Source organism: Homo sapiens, chromosome 7, assembly GCF_000001405.40.
Source record: "Homo sapiens chromosome 7, GRCh38.p14 Primary Assembly".
NCBI classification, from domain to species: domain Eukaryota; kingdom Metazoa; phylum Chordata; class Mammalia; order Primates; family Hominidae; genus Homo; species Homo sapiens.
Window position 1 is genome coordinate 80,183,619 of NC_000007.14, and position 21,381 is coordinate 80,204,999.

General features: G+C 35.9%; 1 protein-coding gene across 2 annotated transcripts in view; it reads left to right on the forward strand.

Annotated features, from left to right (window-relative positions):
• Nucleotides 1-21,381, forward strand: part of GNAI1 (G protein subunit alpha i1) — a 91,351-nt gene that overhangs the window by 48,788 nt on the left and 21,182 nt on the right. For both annotated transcript variants that reach the window (NM_002069.6, NM_001256414.2), the window contains exons 2-5: nt 5,333-5,375; nt 5,472-5,613; nt 15,607-15,764; nt 20,086-20,214. In NM_002069.6, coding sequence (NP_002060.4) covers nt 5,333-5,375; nt 5,472-5,613; nt 15,607-15,764; nt 20,086-20,214 — 472 coding nt within the window. The remainder of the gene's footprint in view (nt 1-5,332; nt 5,376-5,471; nt 5,614-15,606; nt 15,765-20,085; nt 20,215-21,381) is intronic.

Here is a 21,381-nt window from a genome sequence, read left to right on the forward strand (position 1 = left end):
AAAGGATTTTTTTCTTTGAAAGAAAAAAAAAAAGATACTTGTTTTCTGAGGTCAGAAGTGTTTTTTTGTTTTAAACTTTACCAGCAGATAAAACTAAAATTTCCTATGCTACCCCCAACCAAATCAGAGGCAGACACTGTTTGACTATCACATTGATAGCGATAAATTACATAACTCTCTTAAAGGAATTAGAATCTAGCAAAGGGTTACCTTATATCTTGATTTGTTTTTATTTTTTCTCCCTTCCTCCCACCGTCTTGACTTGATGCATTTCCCTTTCCTGGATCCTACCGGTAGGCTGCTGTATGTTTGAGACCCCAAAATGCCTGTGAGTTCTCTCTCCGGTGTTAATGTGATGGTGCTCCTTTGTCCTCAGCACAGTCTTATTTGCTGGGCTCCATATTTGCTGTCAGAGATGCAGTTTTTCGTTAGCCACTTCCTCCTTAAAGGAGACCAGTGGGCGGAGGGGGAGGACTCCTCTGTGTGCCTGTTACCAGTAGCGAATCTGATGCATCTGCAGCAACCTCAATTCTTACCTCCTCAGAAGAAAGAATTCGGCCGAGGGGCATAAGGTAGGGAGACCGAGAAGTTTTAGAGGAGTGAAAATTTATTAAAAAGTTTTAGAGCAGGAACAGAAGGAAGGAACGCGCACCTGGAAGAGGGCCAAGCTGGTGACTCGAACGGTTATTGTGCAGTTTGGCCTTTTGACTTGAGGTTTTATACATTGGTACGTCCAGGGTCTTGTGTCCCTTCTCCCCTGATTCTTCCCTTGGGGTGGGCTGTTCACATGCGCAGTGGCCTGCTAGCGCTTGGGAGAGGAGCCTGTGCAGTGTGCTTACTGGAGTTGTGCCCATACTCACTTGAGGCATTCTTCCCTTACCAGTCTAGCATTCCTAGAGGAAGGTCATATACCAGTTAAACTCCACCATTTTGCCTCTTAATGTGCATGCTTGAGCTCACTCACCCATCTCTTCAGATCTTATTGGGAAGCTGCTGATCACCAGTTGCAGGTTTTTTTCTATCTATATGGAGACTGCCTTTCCCTTTCACTGGCTGTGACCAATTACTATTTTAGAGAAACATTTAACAACCTCCTGTCCATCACCTGATGGTCACCTGACATTCCTGGTCAGGTGGAACCCTCTCCTGCCCTGCTCATGCCTGACTAGCTACCTACTATAACATCACAACTTTGGCTTTATCGCCACTGGCCAACCATAACCATTGCACACATATTCTCAGCCCTCTGGGAGTCACATTCTTCCCTCTAAACTCTCATTCACTCCACAGTGATTAGTTGACTGATAGTTCCTGTGCCGGCCACTTAGTCACCTTGACCAGCCAGGTTTCGTGACTGCAAATGGTCACGCACTTTGATCTTTCTTGACTGACACATGTTACATATTTCTCTTTTCTTCTTGAAGTTGCTCTTGGTAGATGGGAGCACTTTTCATCCCATCCTGGATTTAAGTGAAAAGTAACAGCAACTTGGCTGAGTACTACTGGAAAAAATTTACCCCCCAACCCCATTTTTTTCTTTACAATATTGTTTCCTGCTGAAGCCATGTTCACAGGGTTAAAAAGAATTCTAGACAGAAATATAGCTATAATTAAGCATTATTCAGTCTGTGCTTTGACCCACTTCCTTGTAACTGAAAGTCACATAACACTGGATACTGACCATTTGCATCCTGGTTGTTCCTATAGATAGTATTTCTGGCCTTAGATTGGATCTCTGGTGTTAGAATCATGAGGCTTTTGTTTAAGAATTGTTTAAGTAGATCCTGAATTCCAATTTAACAGCTGAGGCCATCCAGTTTAAAGACCCTCACAGAAGAACCGAATCAGCCTAAGAATAGTTTCTTCATTTCCCTGTCCTATGGCTTTACCCTGCATTCGTTGACCGTTCAATCTGTACACTTCAACCCACTCCAAAACCCCTAAAAACGCTAGCCCCAAACTCCTCAGGCAGATAGATTTGCGGTTTCCTCTATCTCTGTTCGGTGGCCCTACTACGATTAAACTTCTTTCTCTGCTGCAGCCCAGGGTCTCAGCATATTGACTTGGCATGCACATCAGGCAACGATGTGCAGCGTTACACTCCCAGCCTCCCAGAAGTGACTGTGCTGCCTGAGATTTGTAGAGAACAACTATTTACTCTTTCCTGTATGCTATATGGAGAAAATACCAGTGTTCAGAATGTTGAAACCCTAACCACGTGGCATTTGTAATTTTCCTCTTAGGAGACTCTGTATGGAATTGAGAGTTGAAAACTAATTATGTAAATTGCTAAGCTTTGAAACGTTTTTGCAAAATTTCTGCCTGTAGATATCTATTCCACAAAGAGTATTTTGTGACTAGTAAAGAAAGTACAAATCCAGTTAATAAGACTGCCATCCGCACTCTTTTTTTTTTTTTTTTTTTTTTTTTTTGAGACGGAGTCTCACTCTGTTGCCCAGGCTGGAGTGCAGCGGCACAATCTCCGTTCACTGCAACCTCTGCCTCCCGGGTTCAAGCAGCTCTTCTGCCTCAGCCTCCCGAGTAGCTGGGTCTATAGGCACCTACCACCACGCCCAGTTAATTTTTGTATTTTTAGTAGAGACAGGATTTCACCATATTGGCCAGGCTGGTCTAGAACTCTTGTCCTCGTGATCTGCCCGCCTCAGCCTCCCAAAGTGCTGGGATTACAGGCATGAGCCACCGTGCCTGGCCCCCCACTCTTTAATGTTAAACAGATTTCAGGACTTTTTGAACCACAAGCCATTGACTGGATGTGCAATGCAAAGTAAGCTAAGCGTCCCATGTTCCCATTTATTTGAAGAGATAAAAAGTTAATTAGAATGTAGAGATAATATCTAATAGCAGGAAAATTTGTTTTTTTTTCTTAAGGTTTAAACATTCTCATTTGTACATACATAGTTCAACTGGAAAAATCTTATTCTTTACTATTTCTGATTTTCTTCCTTTCGTGGATCTCAAAACTCACGAGCTTACATCACTTGAACCTTTCTCTGGGCTTTTCAGTTGTTTCACTAACAAAATGGACCATAGTGGCTATTCATCAAAGTTCACTATATCTGTGGTATCACCATCCCTGTGTACGAATCCTGGGATCTAGAGTGTCCCATCATCACAGCATGGCAACCACTGCCTCAACTCACAGTACTCTAGAAACCCAGAGTGGTTTATTAAAGACAGCCCCACTGGAAACTGCCTAGGTTATATTGCTTGGGTGGACCCCCTGGATTAGAGAAATGTGTGAGCCAGAATGCCTGCCATTATGCTTTTCATGGAGCCAAGCACACTGTTGTTGATTAATAAATAATGGGTTGTTTATCTTGGAATTGTTTTCATTGGCAGATGCCCTGAAAGATTCAAAGGCTGTCTGTAAATGGAGAATGCCTTTATTGTTTATTCAGTGCCTGCCTGCTTTTCTATTCAGTGTGAGGGTATTTTGGGAAAATTTCTTACATATCAAACCACAAGTAAAATTTAGGGAGTTTTATCCTCAGATTTTCAAATAGGGCATTTAACTATGACCTCTTTTCAGATGCCTCTGATGATTTGGGTGTGTGTGTGTGTGTGTGTCTTTGTGTGTGTGTGTGTGTGTGTGTGTGTGTGTCTTTGTGTGTCTGGAGAGGGAAAGAGGTAAAGGGAGAGATGAGGCCCAGAAGTTGACCATCAGTTGTATCAGTCAGAAATAGCTTAAATAAATTCAAGTACATTTCTGGTTGGTTGATTTTGTGTATAGCACAAGCTAGCTTCTGAGAATTCAAATACAAACATGTGCAAAGTGAGAGGCAGCAGGAATCACATGCAGAGTGGGTAAGGAGAGGTTGACAAAGGAGGTAAGTTCGATGCTTAATAAAAAATCACCAGGGTGGCAAGACCAGAGCAAATTGCATTTTGGCAGGGGAAACAGTGTTTGAAGATGTGTGGCATGAGCAGCAGTGGGTGTTCCTGGAACTGTAAGTTGTTCAGTAATGCTGAACATGAAACTCTGTAGGAATGGCCCAGGGAAAATGGGAATATGGAGCCTAAAATGAAATGAAAATATAGTGAAAATCCTGGGCCCGGTGTCTCAAACAGTCATAAATTCCTCCAGGATATTGTAGTATTGGCCAAAGAGTATGTGAAGCCAAATGATAGACTTGTCATATCTTCCATGTCTTGTGTCCTTTGCTCAGATGTTCTCAATACCCAGCAATCAAGGGAGGGGAGCCTGACAAATAATTGATCTAATTTGGTATAAAGATAGCAGCTATTGTTAAGTGGAAAGGGTATTTAAGAAGGGCCTGATTTTGTAAACTGTCATTTCCTTAGTAGTATTTTCATGTTAGGGTAGCATAGCACTAGGAACTCAAATCTTGAGGAGAGCCTGCATGTATACAGAGTGAAGGAGAGTTCTGAGAATGGCTCCTGGCCTTATGGCTTGCATAACAATGAAGATGAAAAAACACTTTTTATTTTATTTTTGTCCAGCACAACACTGAACCCTCAGTGCTAGCAAGTCATGTTAGTTCTGTATTAGGTTTTTAATAATGGTGATCGAACACATATTCCATGAGACATAGCTGTTTGAACATCTGATATTTTAAAATAGTTTTTCATGTGGCTTCTTGGTGCCACTGCTGCCTATTTCACAAGAGCCACAGGTTAAAATTAAGATAATTGGTCAGGCAGTTAAAACATCTTCCAATGGAGAGCAGAGTCTTAAATAAAACTAATTTATACAGGTTTAATTTAACTTAGAGAAGACTGAATTTTTTAATGCTTTGGAGAATACACACAAACAACAGTAGAAGCATGTTTTTTTATTTGAGTTGATTGACTTTAAGTATATGAAATAATAGGTAGAGCAGACTTATTTCCCAGAACTTTTCTGTGTGTTTAGAAACCGATGAAGCTCATTTTATTTATTTGTTTTAAAGTAAATTTTAAATGCATACAACATGATATTACAAAATATATGTATCAAAATGGTTACCATATTGGGACAAATGAACATATACATCATTTCATGTAATTACCTGTTTGTCCCCTGTGGCTAGAACAGCTGTCATCTACTCATTTAGCAAAATCCTGACTCCATACAGTATTATTACTGTACAACTACAGTTCTCATGTTGTATGTTAGATCTTTATACTTATTCATCCTACATATTTGCTGCCTTGTATCTCATTTTAGTATAAAACAAAATTCAGCTCTAAGAGGTAGACACACAGAGAGAGACTGGGTGTGTGTGTGTGTGTGTGTGTTTGTGTGTTGGGAGTTGAATATACTTAAGTGATTATGATGAAATTAGAAACCTTTTATGTTTTATATTTTTAGGTGCTGGTGAATCTGGTAAAAGTACAATTGTGAAGCAGATGAAGTAAGTAGATTTAAACACCAAATTTGCTGTTTAAGTTAGTGTACCGTTCTACCAAAGGAAGTAAATAATTCTTTTTTTTCCCTTTTGTCTCATTAGAATTATCCATGAAGCTGGTTATTCAGAAGAGGAGTGTAAACAATACAAAGCAGTGGTCTACAGTAACACCATCCAGTCAATTATTGCTATCATTAGGGCTATGGGGAGGTTGAAGATAGACTTTGGTGACTCAGCCCGGGCGGTAAGTTATTAAATTTGTTGGAGCTGACCTGATGGGTAAAAAGAATAACTTGTATGCTAATACCATACTGTGTAACATAGGCTTGTCAACTATCAGGACCATTTCATAAAAGGAACCAAAAGGATAGAAGTGAGTGAAATGAGGAGCGTTAGAAGTGAGTGAAATATTAGAATATGTAGGATTGTATAATCTCTCCTTTATGCTTTCCTTATCCATTAGATGATTTGGACAACTGAATAATCACCACAGTGCTTTCTGTGTAGCATGCTGTGTTGGGTACCCCTGTATTCCCATAATAATTTTTAGTACTGAGTAAACTGCTTACCCTGGCCCTCTTCAAAATCTGTTTCTGCAATTTGGAATACTGAAGTGATCTAGTCATTTGTATTCATGCCTAGACTGAAAAGCAATCTAATCTCGAATAATGAAAACAGTATAAAAGTTTGCTTATCTTTGGAATAGGAAAATATCGGCTATTAAAAACCATGTATCAAAATTTGAGAGCTAAAAGAGATTTTTGGAGACAAGCTAGTTTCAATTCTTTATTTTGCCAAGAAAGAAACTAGCACCCAGGAAATTACATGGTACAGAGATTGCCATACAGCTCGTGGTAACCAAGGCACTATGCCTGTGCCTCCTCATTTGGCCCAATAACTTGTTTCAGTTGGATTGGAAGCAGCCCAATCCAATCCGTAAGGCACCTTTGTTTTCTTTTTTTTTCTCTTATCTTCTCTTTGATTGCTTAATGTATTTATTTCTAGCAGATATATTATTGTATTATTTTTACTAGTATTTATTTTTATGGTTCCTTTATAATTCTGTATATTCAGTATACATACTGTCTTCCTACTAATACTATGAAGATTTTGTGTATAGAGACTATAAATTTTTCTTTTTGTCTTAGTGTCAGCTAGATTTTATTTTTTAAACATGTAGGCTCAATTCATGCTTACTAGGGAAGAAAAATGAATGAAAGCAATATTAGGGAATATACATTGGAAAAATCTGTAAAATCTAGTTTTTAAAATGTTACTTTAAGAATTCTCTTACAAGTTACTGAGCTATATTAATTTACTGTTTTTTAAACTTTTTTAAAAAGCTTACTGTCATTAATTAAAAATTTCAAGTAGATTTCAATATCATTTTAAATAATTTATACATTTATCATTTATTCAGCAAACTTTTTGAGCTCAAAAAGCATTTGTTGAATGAATAAATGATAAATGCATAAATTAGAGTGATTTCCAAGCAATAAGCATTCTTGAGATGATCAAATCTTATTTCAGAAAAGACATTTTAAAAGAACATTATAAATTATTATTGAAAATAATGTTGAAATCTACTTGGAAATGCTAATTAAACTAAGCCTTTTTAATCTTTGTTTAAAAGACTGCACAGTAGGGAACCATGCTTAGATTAAGAAAAAAGAATTAATAAAAATTGTACCTTACACCAATTCTAATTATAAACTTTTAATTTAAACCTTTTGCCAAATTCACATATATGACATTCTGCATTTGGATCTTTTATGTGCTTACGAAAGAAAAAAGCGTTGTAGCCTCCATTTTAGGAGATCATGAAGGGTCAATACAAACAGTTTTTCATGAGTTCTTTTTATTTTCAAGTTTTTCTCTCAAGGAATGTTGTCGTTTTCTCTTTCTTTTTTTAAACATAACTTGGGCGTAGTTTCAAGACTGGAAATAACTACTCTCAAGCTCTATTTTTTTTTTTAAACCAGTTTTCTGATGCTTTGGAATCTTATGTGGGCCTGCTTTGCTCATCTTTGTTTCACTATTGCTGGTTTGACCCACTCTTTTTAGACTGTCTTTAGCGATACTTCAGTAACTGTCTTCTTCCTGCCTTTAGACTATTACTTCTGTTTGCTTTCTCCATCATCATTAACTCATTCACACAAATGCCTCATGTCCTCCCATTGCTTCTCGTTGGTCTACTCCGTGTTTTGTGTTACCTATCTTTACGTAAGCTTTCAAAACTACTGGGCTTTTGCAGTTGTGCTAAGGAATACAAAGACGAATTAAACGTGGCCTGGACACGAGGAAGGGGCATTGAAACTGAGTGTTGAAACATGAATAAGAGTTTTCTGGACAAAAATGGAAAAAGCGTTGTATGAATAAGAAACATTTTATTATTATTATTATATTTATTGTTGTTATTATTTTGAGACAGTCTCGCTCTGTAGCCCAGGCTGGAGTACAGTGGTGCAATCTCAGCTCACTGCAACCTCTGCTTCCCAGGTTCAAGCAATTCTCATGCCTCAGCCTCCCAAGTAGCTGGAACCACGGATGTATGCCACCACACCTGGCTAATTTTTGTATTTTTAGTAAAGATGGGGTTTCACTGTGTTGGCTAGACTGGTCTCGAGCTCCTGGCCTCAAGTAATCCGCCCACCTCGGCCTCCCAAAGTGCTAGGATTACAAGCGTGAGCCACCACGCCAAGCCACAAACAGTATATTCAAAAGAAGTCTGAATATATTTCTATTTCTGGAAGTATTAACCCTGAGTTGAAGGATAACCAGATACTGAATTTTGATAGGTACCACAGGTTTGCTTTCTGAAGAAAAGCAACATGAATAATCTGTTTTAGTATCCGTTCATAAGTGTCTGTTTTACCATAGTCTCAACAACTTAGGTGTTATCAACATTTCAGTTTTTAACATCTGATAAATCAGAAGTATTGTCTTTTTCTAGTTTTTTTCTGATTTTTAATGAATTTGAGAATTATTTTAAAACATTTTGTTCATTTATATTTCTTCTGTGAACTCCTCTTAGTTTTCACTCATTTCTGTTCAATTACTTACCTTTTCACATTGATTCTGTTTAAGTATTAAGCATATTAATCCTTCCTTGCATATTGCAAACACTTTTGCCTAGCATATTTCTTTTAGTTTTTGAAATAGTACATTACAGAACTGTTAAGATTTTTACAATCGATTCTCACTTCTGTGTTTTGTTTCTTATTAGAATGGCATTCTTCACCTTATAATTTTTTAAATTCTCTTATTTTTTTAGAATGTTTGTAGTTTTATTTTTTATATTTATCTCTGTCTCTTCACACACCTTTAAATGTTGTGTTTGTTGCTAGTTAGGATCTAAGTATATTTTATAATATCTTTTGCCTAACAGTCATTTGTTAAATATTAAATAATCAGCCTATTCCGTCTATTCCTCAGTGACTTGAAATTGCTGCCCTTAGCATTAAATTGGGTGTGTTTCTGGACTCCAGTTTTTCTTTCTATTGATGTGTTCTTTTTCCCCACATCTGTCACTTACTAAGCTATTCAACCTCCCTAAGCTTGTTTCCTTATAATACAAGGGAAATAATATCTATGTTGTAGGGTTGTGAGGAATAATGACATTTTGAATATTAAGCACTCCCCACATGCCTTGGTTATAATACAGGCTCAATAAATGTCTGTTGCTGCTATTGTTATCTTTTGGTTTTTTTTCTGTTTGTTTTTTTTGAAATGGAGTTTTGCTCTTGTTGCCAGGCTTCAGTGCAGGAGCATGATCTCAGCTCACTGCAACCTCCGCCTTCCTGGTTCAGCGATTCTCCTGCCTCAGCCTCCCGAGTAGCTAGGATTGCAGGTGTCCACCACCACCACACCTGGCTGATTTTTTGTATTTTTAGTAGAGACGGGGTTTCACCTTGTTGGCCAGGCTGGTCTCGATCTCCTGACCTCAGGCGATCCACCTGCCTCAGCCTCCCAAAGTGCTGGGATTATAGGCATGAGGCACCGCACCCGGCCTTGTTTTATTGTTTTTTTTTTTGTTTTTAATAATTATTATTACATTACTGTCATTCTACTGAGAGTCACATCATTTTAATTTCTATGGCTTCATGGATTAGTTGGCACCTGGTAGAGTAAGCGCACCCCATTTCATTCCGTTGTTCTTTTGCCGAATATCAAGGCCATCATGGTTTTCTCTGCCAGATGAACTTGAGAGCCAGCTTAATTCCCCCACAACCCTGTTGAAACACAACAAACCAAAACAGCTTGTTGACTTGGTTGGGATTACATCTTACTTAGTATATAGGTTGATTTGGTAAGAATTGAGTAAGAAGATGTAAAATCTTAATAAGTGTTGACTAATTTTCTGTGGTTTGCTTCATATTTGGCAGTTACCAGATTTTCAAAACAGATTAAAGACTGGTTATTTAAAATGAGAAGAAATAAAATTGTTTTCAAGGCTTGCATAGAGCAGTCACATTTTATGCCTAATATCATTTCACAGCTTTCGTAGAATGAGGATAGTCCATCTGCGAGTGATAATATATTGATAATTTAGGTGATTATGTTTCTAATGAAGTAAAATTTTAGAAGCTTTACAAAGGGGCCTATTCACCTGTTCAGGCACTGAGCACTTAGAGGAGAGCTGTTCAAAATGTGATTCATGGACTTGTGGACTAGTGCCTGTCCACAAGAGTGTGCACAAAATGGATATAGAAATTAAATGTAAGCATTGGGTTTACAGCAATTGACAGAGTAATTTATATGTTCACTCTGAGAGTTTTTAAAATATTAATTTATATTTTGTGTGTCATTTAATTTTTTCTACTATTATTCTGGAATAGACTGGAAACAAATGCAAATGAAATAAAACACAACACCGGTTCTTCATCACAGATAGCTTGAGAAGCACTTATTTAGAATATAGGCTGTGAGGAGTGGGAAACCTCACCTTGAATTGACTTAAATAAGTTTTCCCCCTAAGCCTCATACATGCTCCTGCATAATGGCCATTTTTCTGTTCCAATAACTTTGTTATTTACTTTCATTAGTTAGTTTGTCTGTGTCTGTCTGCCGGATTTGCTAGATTGTCTTTTAGAAAGGTTCTATCAGTTTACCTTCCTTGCAGCAGTTTTTGGAATGCCTTTTCTTAGCACTCTGGGCAGCCAAAATTTAGGAGTCTTGTATTTAAAAAATCTTTGCTAATTTGTTGTTAGTAAATCATGTATCAGTTTAATTTGAATTTTCCATTTTTAATGTAGCTGAACAGTTTTCCCTGTCTATTGATTATATTTTTATTTTTCTATGTGGCTTGTGCACTTTATTCATTTACCACTTGGAATCTTGGTGTTTTGATGATCTGTTTGCTTGTTTATATGTGTGTATGTATTAACTCTTTGTCCATTAATACAAATGTTTAGTAAGTCAAATTTTACTTAACTGCCATTAATGTTATGGTAATATTGTATTTTAAAAAATGTTTAAAATTCCCGTTATTTCTTCCATTGTGTTTAAATGTAGAACATCCTCTCTCAACAAAAGATTTACCAAATATTGATGCTCTTTTTAAAGCAAGGGGAATTTTGAGGGAGTGAATTTTAACATTTGTTTCTGTGTTTATTTTTTAATCTGTCTGAAGCATGTTTTGTTATATGCATGGAGTAAGGATGCACATTATTTTATTTCTCTTCAGGTGGCTATCTAATTATCACCAGTGTTATTGGATTAATCGTATCTTTTCTGACTGATGTATCTTGCCACATTTATCATGTAATAAGTTCAGATTTGGGATTTTTTTCCCCTATGGATCTGCCTTCATAGTAGACTGTTTCTACATATTGTAGGCTTTTAATATCTGATAATAACATCCCTGTGCTCCCAGTCTTTTTCAAAATGCTCCTTGTTACTTTTACTTGCTTTTTCCACATGAATGTTTGAATCATTTATAGTAGTATTCTGGTTTATGTTTGAGAACTAAGATGAAAATACGGTTTTTGTTTTGATTCTGAAAAATATTGATATATATGTGGCAAAATGATACTAGCCACCATTTGAAATGAATGTGTGCTTCTAATACAGTATTTTTCTATCCTCATTTCACTTATCTCACATTTCTGTATTGACAAGTTCTCTTGTCAATACCAGGAACACTTAAATGTCAATATTTCTCCATTTTACCAATTTGAAAAAATATATCTATACATGTATAAGATTTATAAATTTGTATATTTATATAATATGTTTATTGATAATTTCCCTTCTTGACTTAGTGAAACTCATACTTCATGCTAAATTCACTGCAATTTGGTTAAAAATTTATCTCTGCAATTTAGTTAAAATTAACTTTTTATTTTAGGCTTTTTCCCCCCTTTTAAGTATTCTTATGGGGAAAAAAGAAAAATGACTTCCTATTTCATTTCCTCAAGACATTTTTACTTTGATTATATTTCTGCTTTTAGAAAAAAAAATGTATTTTACATGTATGTATTCCTTAAAGCAACTCTTCAACATCTGATCAAGTCGGCTTCATCCCTGGGATGCAAGACTGGTTCAACATACGCAAATCAATAAACATAATCCATCACATAAACAGAACCAATGACAAAAAACACATGATTATCTCAATAGGTGAAAGAAAGGCCTTCAATAAAATTCAACAGCCCTTCATGCTAAAAACTCTCAATAACACTCCATTACCATATTATTTAGCTTCTATTTTAGAAGGGCTTGCAGATCTTTTTAAATTTAAACTCTTAATCTCATACATAAATTCTATCTGCTGTATTACAATAGTCATCTGACCTTTGCTTTAAAAACTCTGTCATTCCCCTTCCCTTTTTTGTTTTTCAGGTGGCTTTGATTATTTTAAAAAAAATTCCTCTAGTTGAGATGAACTCTGATATCTTTTGCTCTAAGAATGCTCCTTTTTCTGCTCTGTGCCTAAACATGAACTCTGTTCTTTCTTACCTTTAATTATGTCAGATGACAGCCATCATGCTCCCTTAAAGTCTTCTCCTCCCATCCTAGGCAGACTCTTCTGAATTTTCATCAAGTGGGTGACAGCTTTAAATAAAACATGTAATCACTAAATAAGTACAGCATGCCAGATATCCCCTGACCACCGCTTGGAATGAGGACTTATTATTTGTCTCTTTGACAAAATAGTGCTTCATAGCTCCTTTCTGAGTTCTCAGAGCACATGAATATATGAACTGGAATTTACTTTCTCTAAATCAACTTATTTTTGTTTAGCTTTTAGTAATTTGAAAATATTTTAGCTTTGCTACATGCAAGGAATTTTTCTGTCAAATAATTGCCTGGCAAATAATCTTTCTTTTCACCACCACAAAGACTTCCTGTAAACTGCTTTATTAACCTGTTAACCCTCCTTACCAAACTCCAGTCTTCTCTTAAGTAATCCCTATTCTTTTTCTACTCTGTATCACACTATTTTGGTACACTTACATTTATATTTATAGATGTTAAGTAATTTTCTTTCTCACAAATTTTGCAAAGACCTCATTCCATGGCAAGATAAAATCGTTGTCATCATTCTGTGCTTTTAAAATTTATCCTATTTTAGATAATGAATCATTGACTCCCTAATTTGTATGATTGGGTGACTAGCCATGGAACTTTAAGTAAGTTGCTTAACCTCTTTGTGCCTTGGGTTCGTTTTATACAGAAGATTAGGTAGAATAATTTCAGCAGTGTTTTCCTGGTCAGATTTATTGCCTGAAAGCTCATCTACAGACACACCTGAATGTCCTGGTAATGATGTGGAAGTGAATAATCCCAGTAAATTTTTTTTAAAGAAAAGAGGCTTGAAAAAATTATCTGAGCTTTACAACTTGATGTTATGAGATACATATAGATAGTAAAATTGTTACTATAGTAGAGTAGGTTAACATGCCCATTATCTCACATAGTTAATTTTTTTGACTAGAAGAGCAGTTAAAACCTGTTTAACAAAAATCTCGAATACAGTACTTTTTAATTAGCTACAGTCCTCATATTGTACTTCAGTCTGGACTTCTGTAGACTTGGTCATCCCATGTATCTGCTACTTTGTATTCTTTCAATATGTCTCTCTATTTTCTCTTTCCTCTCCCTCCTCTCCTCCCCCACCCCATAACCATAACTACTGGTTTGTTCTCTAGCTTTGTATATTTGACCTTGACCTATTTTTGTTTCTGTGGATTTTTTTTTTTTTTTTGGAGACCTGGAGGACATTATGCTTAGTGAAATAAGCCAGACACAGAAAGAAAAATAAAACATCATCTCACTTATATGTAGAATTATGAAAAAGAAACATTTTTTAATGCCACAGAGAGAATGTGATTTATAAATACAGCTTCCAAAGTTTCTTAAGTCTTTACTTCAGGCCTATTCCTGGAAAGTTTGAGAAGAATGTGATCTTGTGACCCATACTGGAGGGCATTAGTCTTTTTTTGTCAAAAAACGCTATTGAAATTGAATGAAGACGTCGTAATGAAAGCTCATTTGAAAACCTACTTAAGCGAAGAGTACTTTTCTAAAATAGAAAGGTTATATTTGATGTAATTTAATAAATAAAAATGGTCAAATTCAGAAATTTCTCATGTATAGGTAATAATTTGGATAATTGAATAATTGTTTACTGGAATTAGACTAATGGTGCAAAAATGACTGGAAACCATGTTATGTGAGGTTTATTAAGGATATCATGCACGTGTCGCTTGCATGCATTTCTCTTGTGATTTGCTAAAAAGGGAAGCATATGCTTGAATAATATGTTCTCATGCTGAGAGACTTAATTATTTTTCATGATGGGTTCCAGCTGAAAAGAAAATGTTTCACAAATTGGCAACAGCATGAATTTATATTGTCAGCTAGTACACTCTGCTAGCCTGTGTCACCAAATGCTGCTTCTCTTCTATACCCCTTATAATAATGTGTGCCATCACTTTATAAGCATCTGCTACAATACTTTGGAAGAATGCCTCTTGAAAGAAATTAGGAATTGTCCACCCAGTTATCTTAAAGCTACATATCTCAAGTTAAGGAGAATCTCTGTGAAGAAAGAAACTTCATATCTGGGTTTTTTGTTTGTTTATTGTTTTGTTTTTTTTTTAATTGTGTTATTACTTGGAAACTAGAGTTAGGTTATCCAGTATGGTAGCTACTATCCGCATGTGGCTACTGAATCCTTAAAATGTATCTACTTTGAATTGAAATGGGCTGTATGCATAAAATACACACCAGATGTTGTAATACGTATGAAAAAATATGAAATATAATTGTGTATTTATTACATATAAATGAATTGATATTTTTATACATAGGTTAAGTATACTGTTAAAAATCATTTCACCTAGCTTTAAAAAAAGCTTTTAAAAAATGTAGCTATTAGAATATTTAGATTGTATTAGTGTTGCACATTATATTTCTCTTGGTCCACACACTGATTTAGAGTGGTTGATTACTTGTGGATCAGAATAACCAAATATGAGTAGCCTCAAATTTTAAGCTAAGTTTAATTAACTTTATATAAAGTATCTTTTCATTTAGAAATTTTTACATACTGTCCTCTATGTATATCATGAGTATTTCTACTCCAAAGCTGTGCTTATTTTGTTTTCTATGCCTGGATTAGCAAAACACCTGCTCCCAACTTCTGCCCCATTGATTTTAATGTGTCCATACTTAAAATCTCCTGAAAATCTCAGACCATTACATGAAATTAGTCTTCTGGTCTTGCCCACTCCACATTGATTTCTCCCTTCTCTGAACTTACTTTGCAACTATAAGGTATATCAGAAAGCTAACACTTAATTCAATTCTATCTCTAATCTTTGAAAGTTATGTTTCTTAGTTTAGAAAACATTTTGAGGAGAGAGGAAGAAGACATAGGTTCTTCTTCTGTTTTCTCAAAAATGATCATCTTCAATACACAACAAACTGTCAGTGGATAATTGGCTAATGTCCCCTTTATGAGCTGGAACCTTAATTATTCTTCCAGCTTCCTAGTGCCTTGACAGATACTACTAACACCACAAAACATAGACATATGATGTGTGATTATTGTCTTTTGGTCAAGGCAATTTTTAAGTGGTGGCTTAGAGAAAGAAAAGTAATGACGTGTTAATAAAAACAAAGGAAGTTCGCTATTGCCTTTTTTTTTTTAACTCTAGAATTGTCTCCTTTGTACTTTTTATCTCTGACGTATCCCTTTTTACTTAAAAAATGTCCTTTGAATGTTCAGGATGATGCACGCCAACTCTTTGTGCTAGCTGGAGCTGCTGAAGAAGGCTTTATGACTGCAGAACTTGCTGGAGTTATAAAGAGATTGTGGAAAGATAGTGGTGTACAAGCCTGTTTCAACAGATCCCGAGAGTACCAGCTTAATGATTCTGCAGCATAGTAAGTAATCATAACTTCAGAACTAAACTATCATGAATAATTACTTGCAAGTCAAATATACTTCCAAGTCAATTTTACTGCAGAATTGGCTGACACATTCTTGTACAACTTAGGATATTCAGGATGACAATATTTTAAAACTTTGTCTTATGTGTGTTGTGTGTGTGTAGATAGCAACGTTATTTCCTATATGTTCAATAGTGTCTCAAGAGACTCATGCTATGTAACTCTAATTGAAACATGGAGAATGGTACCTGTTGCAATATATTTTCAAGAAAGTAACTGGAACTTTCCAAAATCCACTCCAAATTGGGGTGTATTTCTAGTTTACTTGGAGCTATGTTAATGAGAGTGTAACTGATTTGAGTTCCTTTCATTATGTTAGCAGTGCCTGAGAAGAGTTACTTGTCCAATGACAGGTACTGTAAGTAGGGATTTTTTGAAGGAGTGCAAGATGACTCCAAGGTATTTTTTGACTAAGTAAAATAGCTCTGTATTTGAAAATTGTCAGTTGTGTGTGTGCCCTGTTGTATTTGACACTGTTTCCAGATATTTAAGTACAGTTTTTTGGAAGAAAAATCTGCCTTGAATTTTCAGGTGGTGGCCCCAGAAAGTTTGCAAAGCAAGTTGTGATGAAACCTAATCAGGGAGGCTGGGTGAGGTGGCTCATTGCTTGTAATCCCAGCACTTTGGGAGGCTAAGGTGGGCAGATCACTTGAGCCCAGGTGTTTGAGACCCATCTGGGTAACTTAACGAGACCTCCCCCCACCATCTCTACAAAAAATACAAAAATTAGCCAGTCATGATGGTGCACACGTGTGGTCCCAGTTACTCAGCGGGGGCTGAGAGAGGATGATTGCTTGAACCCAGGACTTTGAGTTTGCAGTGAGCCATGCTCGTACCACTGCACTCCAGCCTGGAGATGGAGTGAGGCCATGTCTCAAAAAAAAAAAAAAAAAAAAAAACCTAATCAGGGAGCTTTCTGTTTGGTGATCTCCATAGAACAACACCAAAACAAAAAAAAAATTTATAATTTGCCACACATACTCAAAATGTCCTATATGATATGTATTGCTCTTAAAACCTATGTTGTGCATTTGTTTTACTTTCCAGGATTGTTCCATTTTCTTGACACAGCTGTTGGCTGTTAGGGACACAAGGATTAGATAGATGACAAATTTTGAAAGGTCTAGGTGAATGCATGCACTTTGCCACAATGAATAAATAAATGAGGTGTGCCTCCTGAAGAGCGAATTATTTGTTCAGCATCAGACTAGGTACTATATGTTGTGTGATTTAGTGTGTTTAAGAAATAATGAATATTGTATCACCCACATCAATCTTTATAACCCTGTATTTCATAATCTATATTTTTAACATTTTACACTTGTATTAACCATATGTATTATTACGTGGTTTATACATGTATATATAACATAAACATATTGAATATGTAGCCCATCTCTCCAACTGGTATCATATCCTATACAAAGAAATATTCCTTGACCCACTGAGTTGGTCCTTGCGCTCCAGTTTTAGGTACTCCTAATGTACTTTTTCTTCAGCTTTACATTTATTTTGAGGTTATTTTGTTCCTGTTTATGTTGTGAATATTTGATTATTTTCTGTCTCTGCCATTACATTGTAAATTCAGTAATGTGTTTTTACCTAATATTGTATTCCCATAGCCTGACACAGTCATCACCCAATATGATCTTGTTTAATAATGAATGAATTCATAAACCAGACATCACAGAGGCTAGAAGACAAATTAGAAAAAATACTTACAGGAAGAACACAACTCATAAACCATATTTGCTTTGACACCACCAGCATCTGTGGAGATTTAAGTGGGAGTCACTATGATGAGAAGATTGCTTTGAGTCGAGTCCAGCAAAAGGAGCTACTTCAATAATTAAGGGGTACTACTTGGGAATGACAGATTGAAGTTCTCTTTCTCACTGTATGGGGGAACTTCCAGACCCCCTCAGTCTCTTGTCCAAGACCCTCTCTCCTGTGCACACTACTTGGACGTGAGTTAACAGAAACATAGGCCGGGCATTGGTGGCTCATGCTTTGTAATCCCAGCATTTTGGGAGGCTGAGGTGAGAGGATCGCTTGAGCCCAGGAATTCCAGACCATCCTGGCCAACATACTGAGACCTTGTCTCTACAAAAAGTAAAAATAAAAAATTTAGCCAGCATGGTGGCCCATCCCTGTAGTCCTAGCTACTTGAGAGGCTGAGTCAGGAGAATCACCCAAGCCCAGAAGGTTGAGGCTATAGTGAGCTATGACTGCACAGCTGTATTCCAGCCTGGGTGACAGAGCAAGACCATGTCTCAAAGAAAAAAAAATTAAAATTATAAAATGAAAAATATGTTGCTTTAGTTTTACATTATTTTATTTCTAATAGTTGTGACCTTAAGATGGCACTAATGCGGCTGCTTTTTAGGAATGAAGAAAGTCTTAGAAACATTTTTCTCCATAGTGATTAGAGGGCATCGTGATCTATGAGTTCTTGACTGGGGATGCTAAGATGCAGTCAAGTTGCCCATTAGGACTGACTAGCCACCAATTCACACTTTAAATTTGTAATCATTTAAAACAATCAGAATTTTTCACAGTGCCTGCTTTTCTTCTTTGTCTTATTGAAATACTATTTTTAGAGATTTTTTTGAACTATAGCAGTTTTTTTGTTGTTGTTGTTTCTGGTTTTTTTGTTTTTTGAGATGGAGTCGGGCTTTGTCCCCAGGCTGGAGTGCAGTGACGTGATCTTGGCTCACTGCAACCTGGGCCTCCCAGGTGCAAGCGATTCTCCTGCCTCAGCCTCCCCAATAGCTGGGATTACAGGCACGCCTCACCACGTCCAGCTGATTTTTGCATTTTTAGTAGAGACTGGGTTTCACCATGTTGGCCAGGATGGTCTTGATTGCCTGACCTCGTGATCCGCCCACCTCGGCCTCACAAAGTGCTGGGATTACAGGCGCCAGCCACCACGCCTGGCGAACTGTAACGGTTTTAAGCAAAGAAATCTGTGAGTAATCAAAGAACATTTTAAATAAGAGTAGCTCATTATTTTAAAGAGGCAGTAAAATCTTGCCATGGCTTGTTTGATTTGTTAAGTCGGATTTTCTTACAGTAAAGTAGAACATTTAGAATTAAAAGCACAGAGAAAGTACTGGAGGATTATCACCAATGTGATAATAAGATTCTCTTAAATTCAGTAAATACAATACAGGTAACTCAGGCTGTCATCTCTCTATGTATTCTAGTATAATTACCACATACATACACTTGACTGTCTAAAACATTTTTTATTTCTAAGTTATCAGTCACCTTATAGGTCTCGTAATAAAAACACTGCGGTGATGGTCTCTACATTCAGCTGACCTTAGGACTCATTCCAAACTCCTCATTTAAGGCTTTATATAGCTTACTAGTGGCTTTACTTTCCAAGAAAGACCATGCAACTGTTCCCATCTCCATACTGATTTACAGCTTCTCCTGGGGCAGTGTCATTCCTTTTCTTCCATCCCCATTATTCATGTTTCTGTTTAGACCCCTCGCTATCCATGAATCCTTCTTTAATCACCTAGGTCCACATTAATCTCTCCATACCTGTATTTTCTGTGAATTACTGACTATACCATATAATTTGACACAAGATAACTTAATCTCTTACATTGCATGGTATGATACTACTACATTTTTATATCACAACATATGTAGCACCAGTGGCAGAGAGTATTACATGAGTGACTAAAACATGTATTGATTTAGAGAGCAGTAAAGTGCAGCGTAAAGGAGTATGTGCTGTTTTCCTGTATGTAACATAAGACTGGTTGAAAAGAAACATCTCGTTCAGCCTTTGGGAAGAGCTTTCATCACTACTTGCTCCAAAATTAAGACTTTAAAAATCTTCAGTAAAAAAAGAATGATGTCTGGATCATAAACACAGTGCTATATCCAAAAGGTGTGATAAAGAATTCTAAGAAACAAACTCATGGTGTGTATTAGCTTTTTTTTTTTAAGTTATTCTTTTTCCTTTGAATCACTGATAACTGTCCCTAAGAAATAAAGTACACATTTAAAAAATACTAAAAGAGCTTTGTGGTTGCAGAGGTGTAAACATTTTTATTTCCGTGGGAGTTTGTAAGATAAGATACAAGCTTAAACTGGATTATATCTTTACACACAAATTTAAAAACTTTTAGTGATTTCAGATTATCGCTTGTATTGAAATGTGTTTTAATTTTTGTTTTGGATGATCTTTATTGGCTATATTTACCATTAACATGTTGTTTTGTTTAATTTTTTTCAGCTATTTGAATGACTTGGACAGAATAGCTCAACCAAATTACATCCCGACTCAACAAGATGTTCTCAGAACTAGAGTGAAAACTACAGGAATTGTTGAAACCCATTTTACTTTCAAAGATCTTCATTTTAAGTGAGTAGCTTTGAAATATATGATTTCTAAATTTAGATAAAAACACATTGCTTTAGAAATAAAAAGTGTAATAAAAGTTTACAACATTTTTACAGTTGGAAATTACAGTTGGAAAAAAACTTTCTTCAGATGATTGGACAAAAGAATGTTTGGGAGAAAGAAGTCAAAAAAAGCATTCCTAAGAGGAATGTTTTTATTTAAGAAAATCTATCCACACAAATTCCGTTTTGCCTATAGTTTTTACAGTGATTCAAACAAAATAGTTTTTGGCTTTTATTTCTAAACAAAATTCTGCTCTAATATACTGTGTTTTCGGAAAGTGTTGCCATCTATTTTTAGGTAATAAGAGAGCAAGTTTTACTGATAGCATAAGTGCTTATTTATGGAAATATTAAGAAGAGCACCTTTAACAATTTTTTCGTGAACAGTTTTCTTCATAGGGAACTTACCTTCCCTATGAAGGTAGTCCTTATGCACTATTTCATGATAAGAAGTATTCATTTAAAGTGTACTGAATATCCACTTACTGAGGTCGGAGCAGAAAAGCACCGAATCGTAGTCTTTAGAAATGCAAGGGGTCTTGGAGTGCATATTTTTCCAGTTCCCTCATTTTAAGATGAACGAGGCTCAGGAAAGTTTAGTAAAATATCATATTCAAATTTACAAAACTACTTTCCTCTTTTTCCAGTAAATAACATTTTCCAAGGTATGAGGAGAACTGTTGGACTTAAACACAACGAAATATAATGTTTTCATTTGCAGAGTCTTGTTTTATCTATACAGCCTTCCTGGTCAGTTAATCTGTTTCCCTTCCAGGTCATCTGCTAGTCATTACCATGACTTTCTTCTTCTAAAATGCTCCATCTACTGATTTCATTGTTCACTCAAACAAAATTACCCTTAAGTCTGTACTGTTATTCATCATTTCTGTTAATGTAATAGTAAAATCATGAAAAAAGAAATTATGTAGCCTATGTAAATATATATACATTAATAAGATAACATCACGGGATATTCTACTGAAACAAAACTTCTGTATTTTCATAGACATCTAAGACCACTGTAGTGTTACTTGATGTTAAAAAAATATTTAAAAATACAGATGTTCCTTTTTTGCTTCTTAGTATTATTTATTTCAGTACATTGAAGCTAAATAAAGAGGCAGAA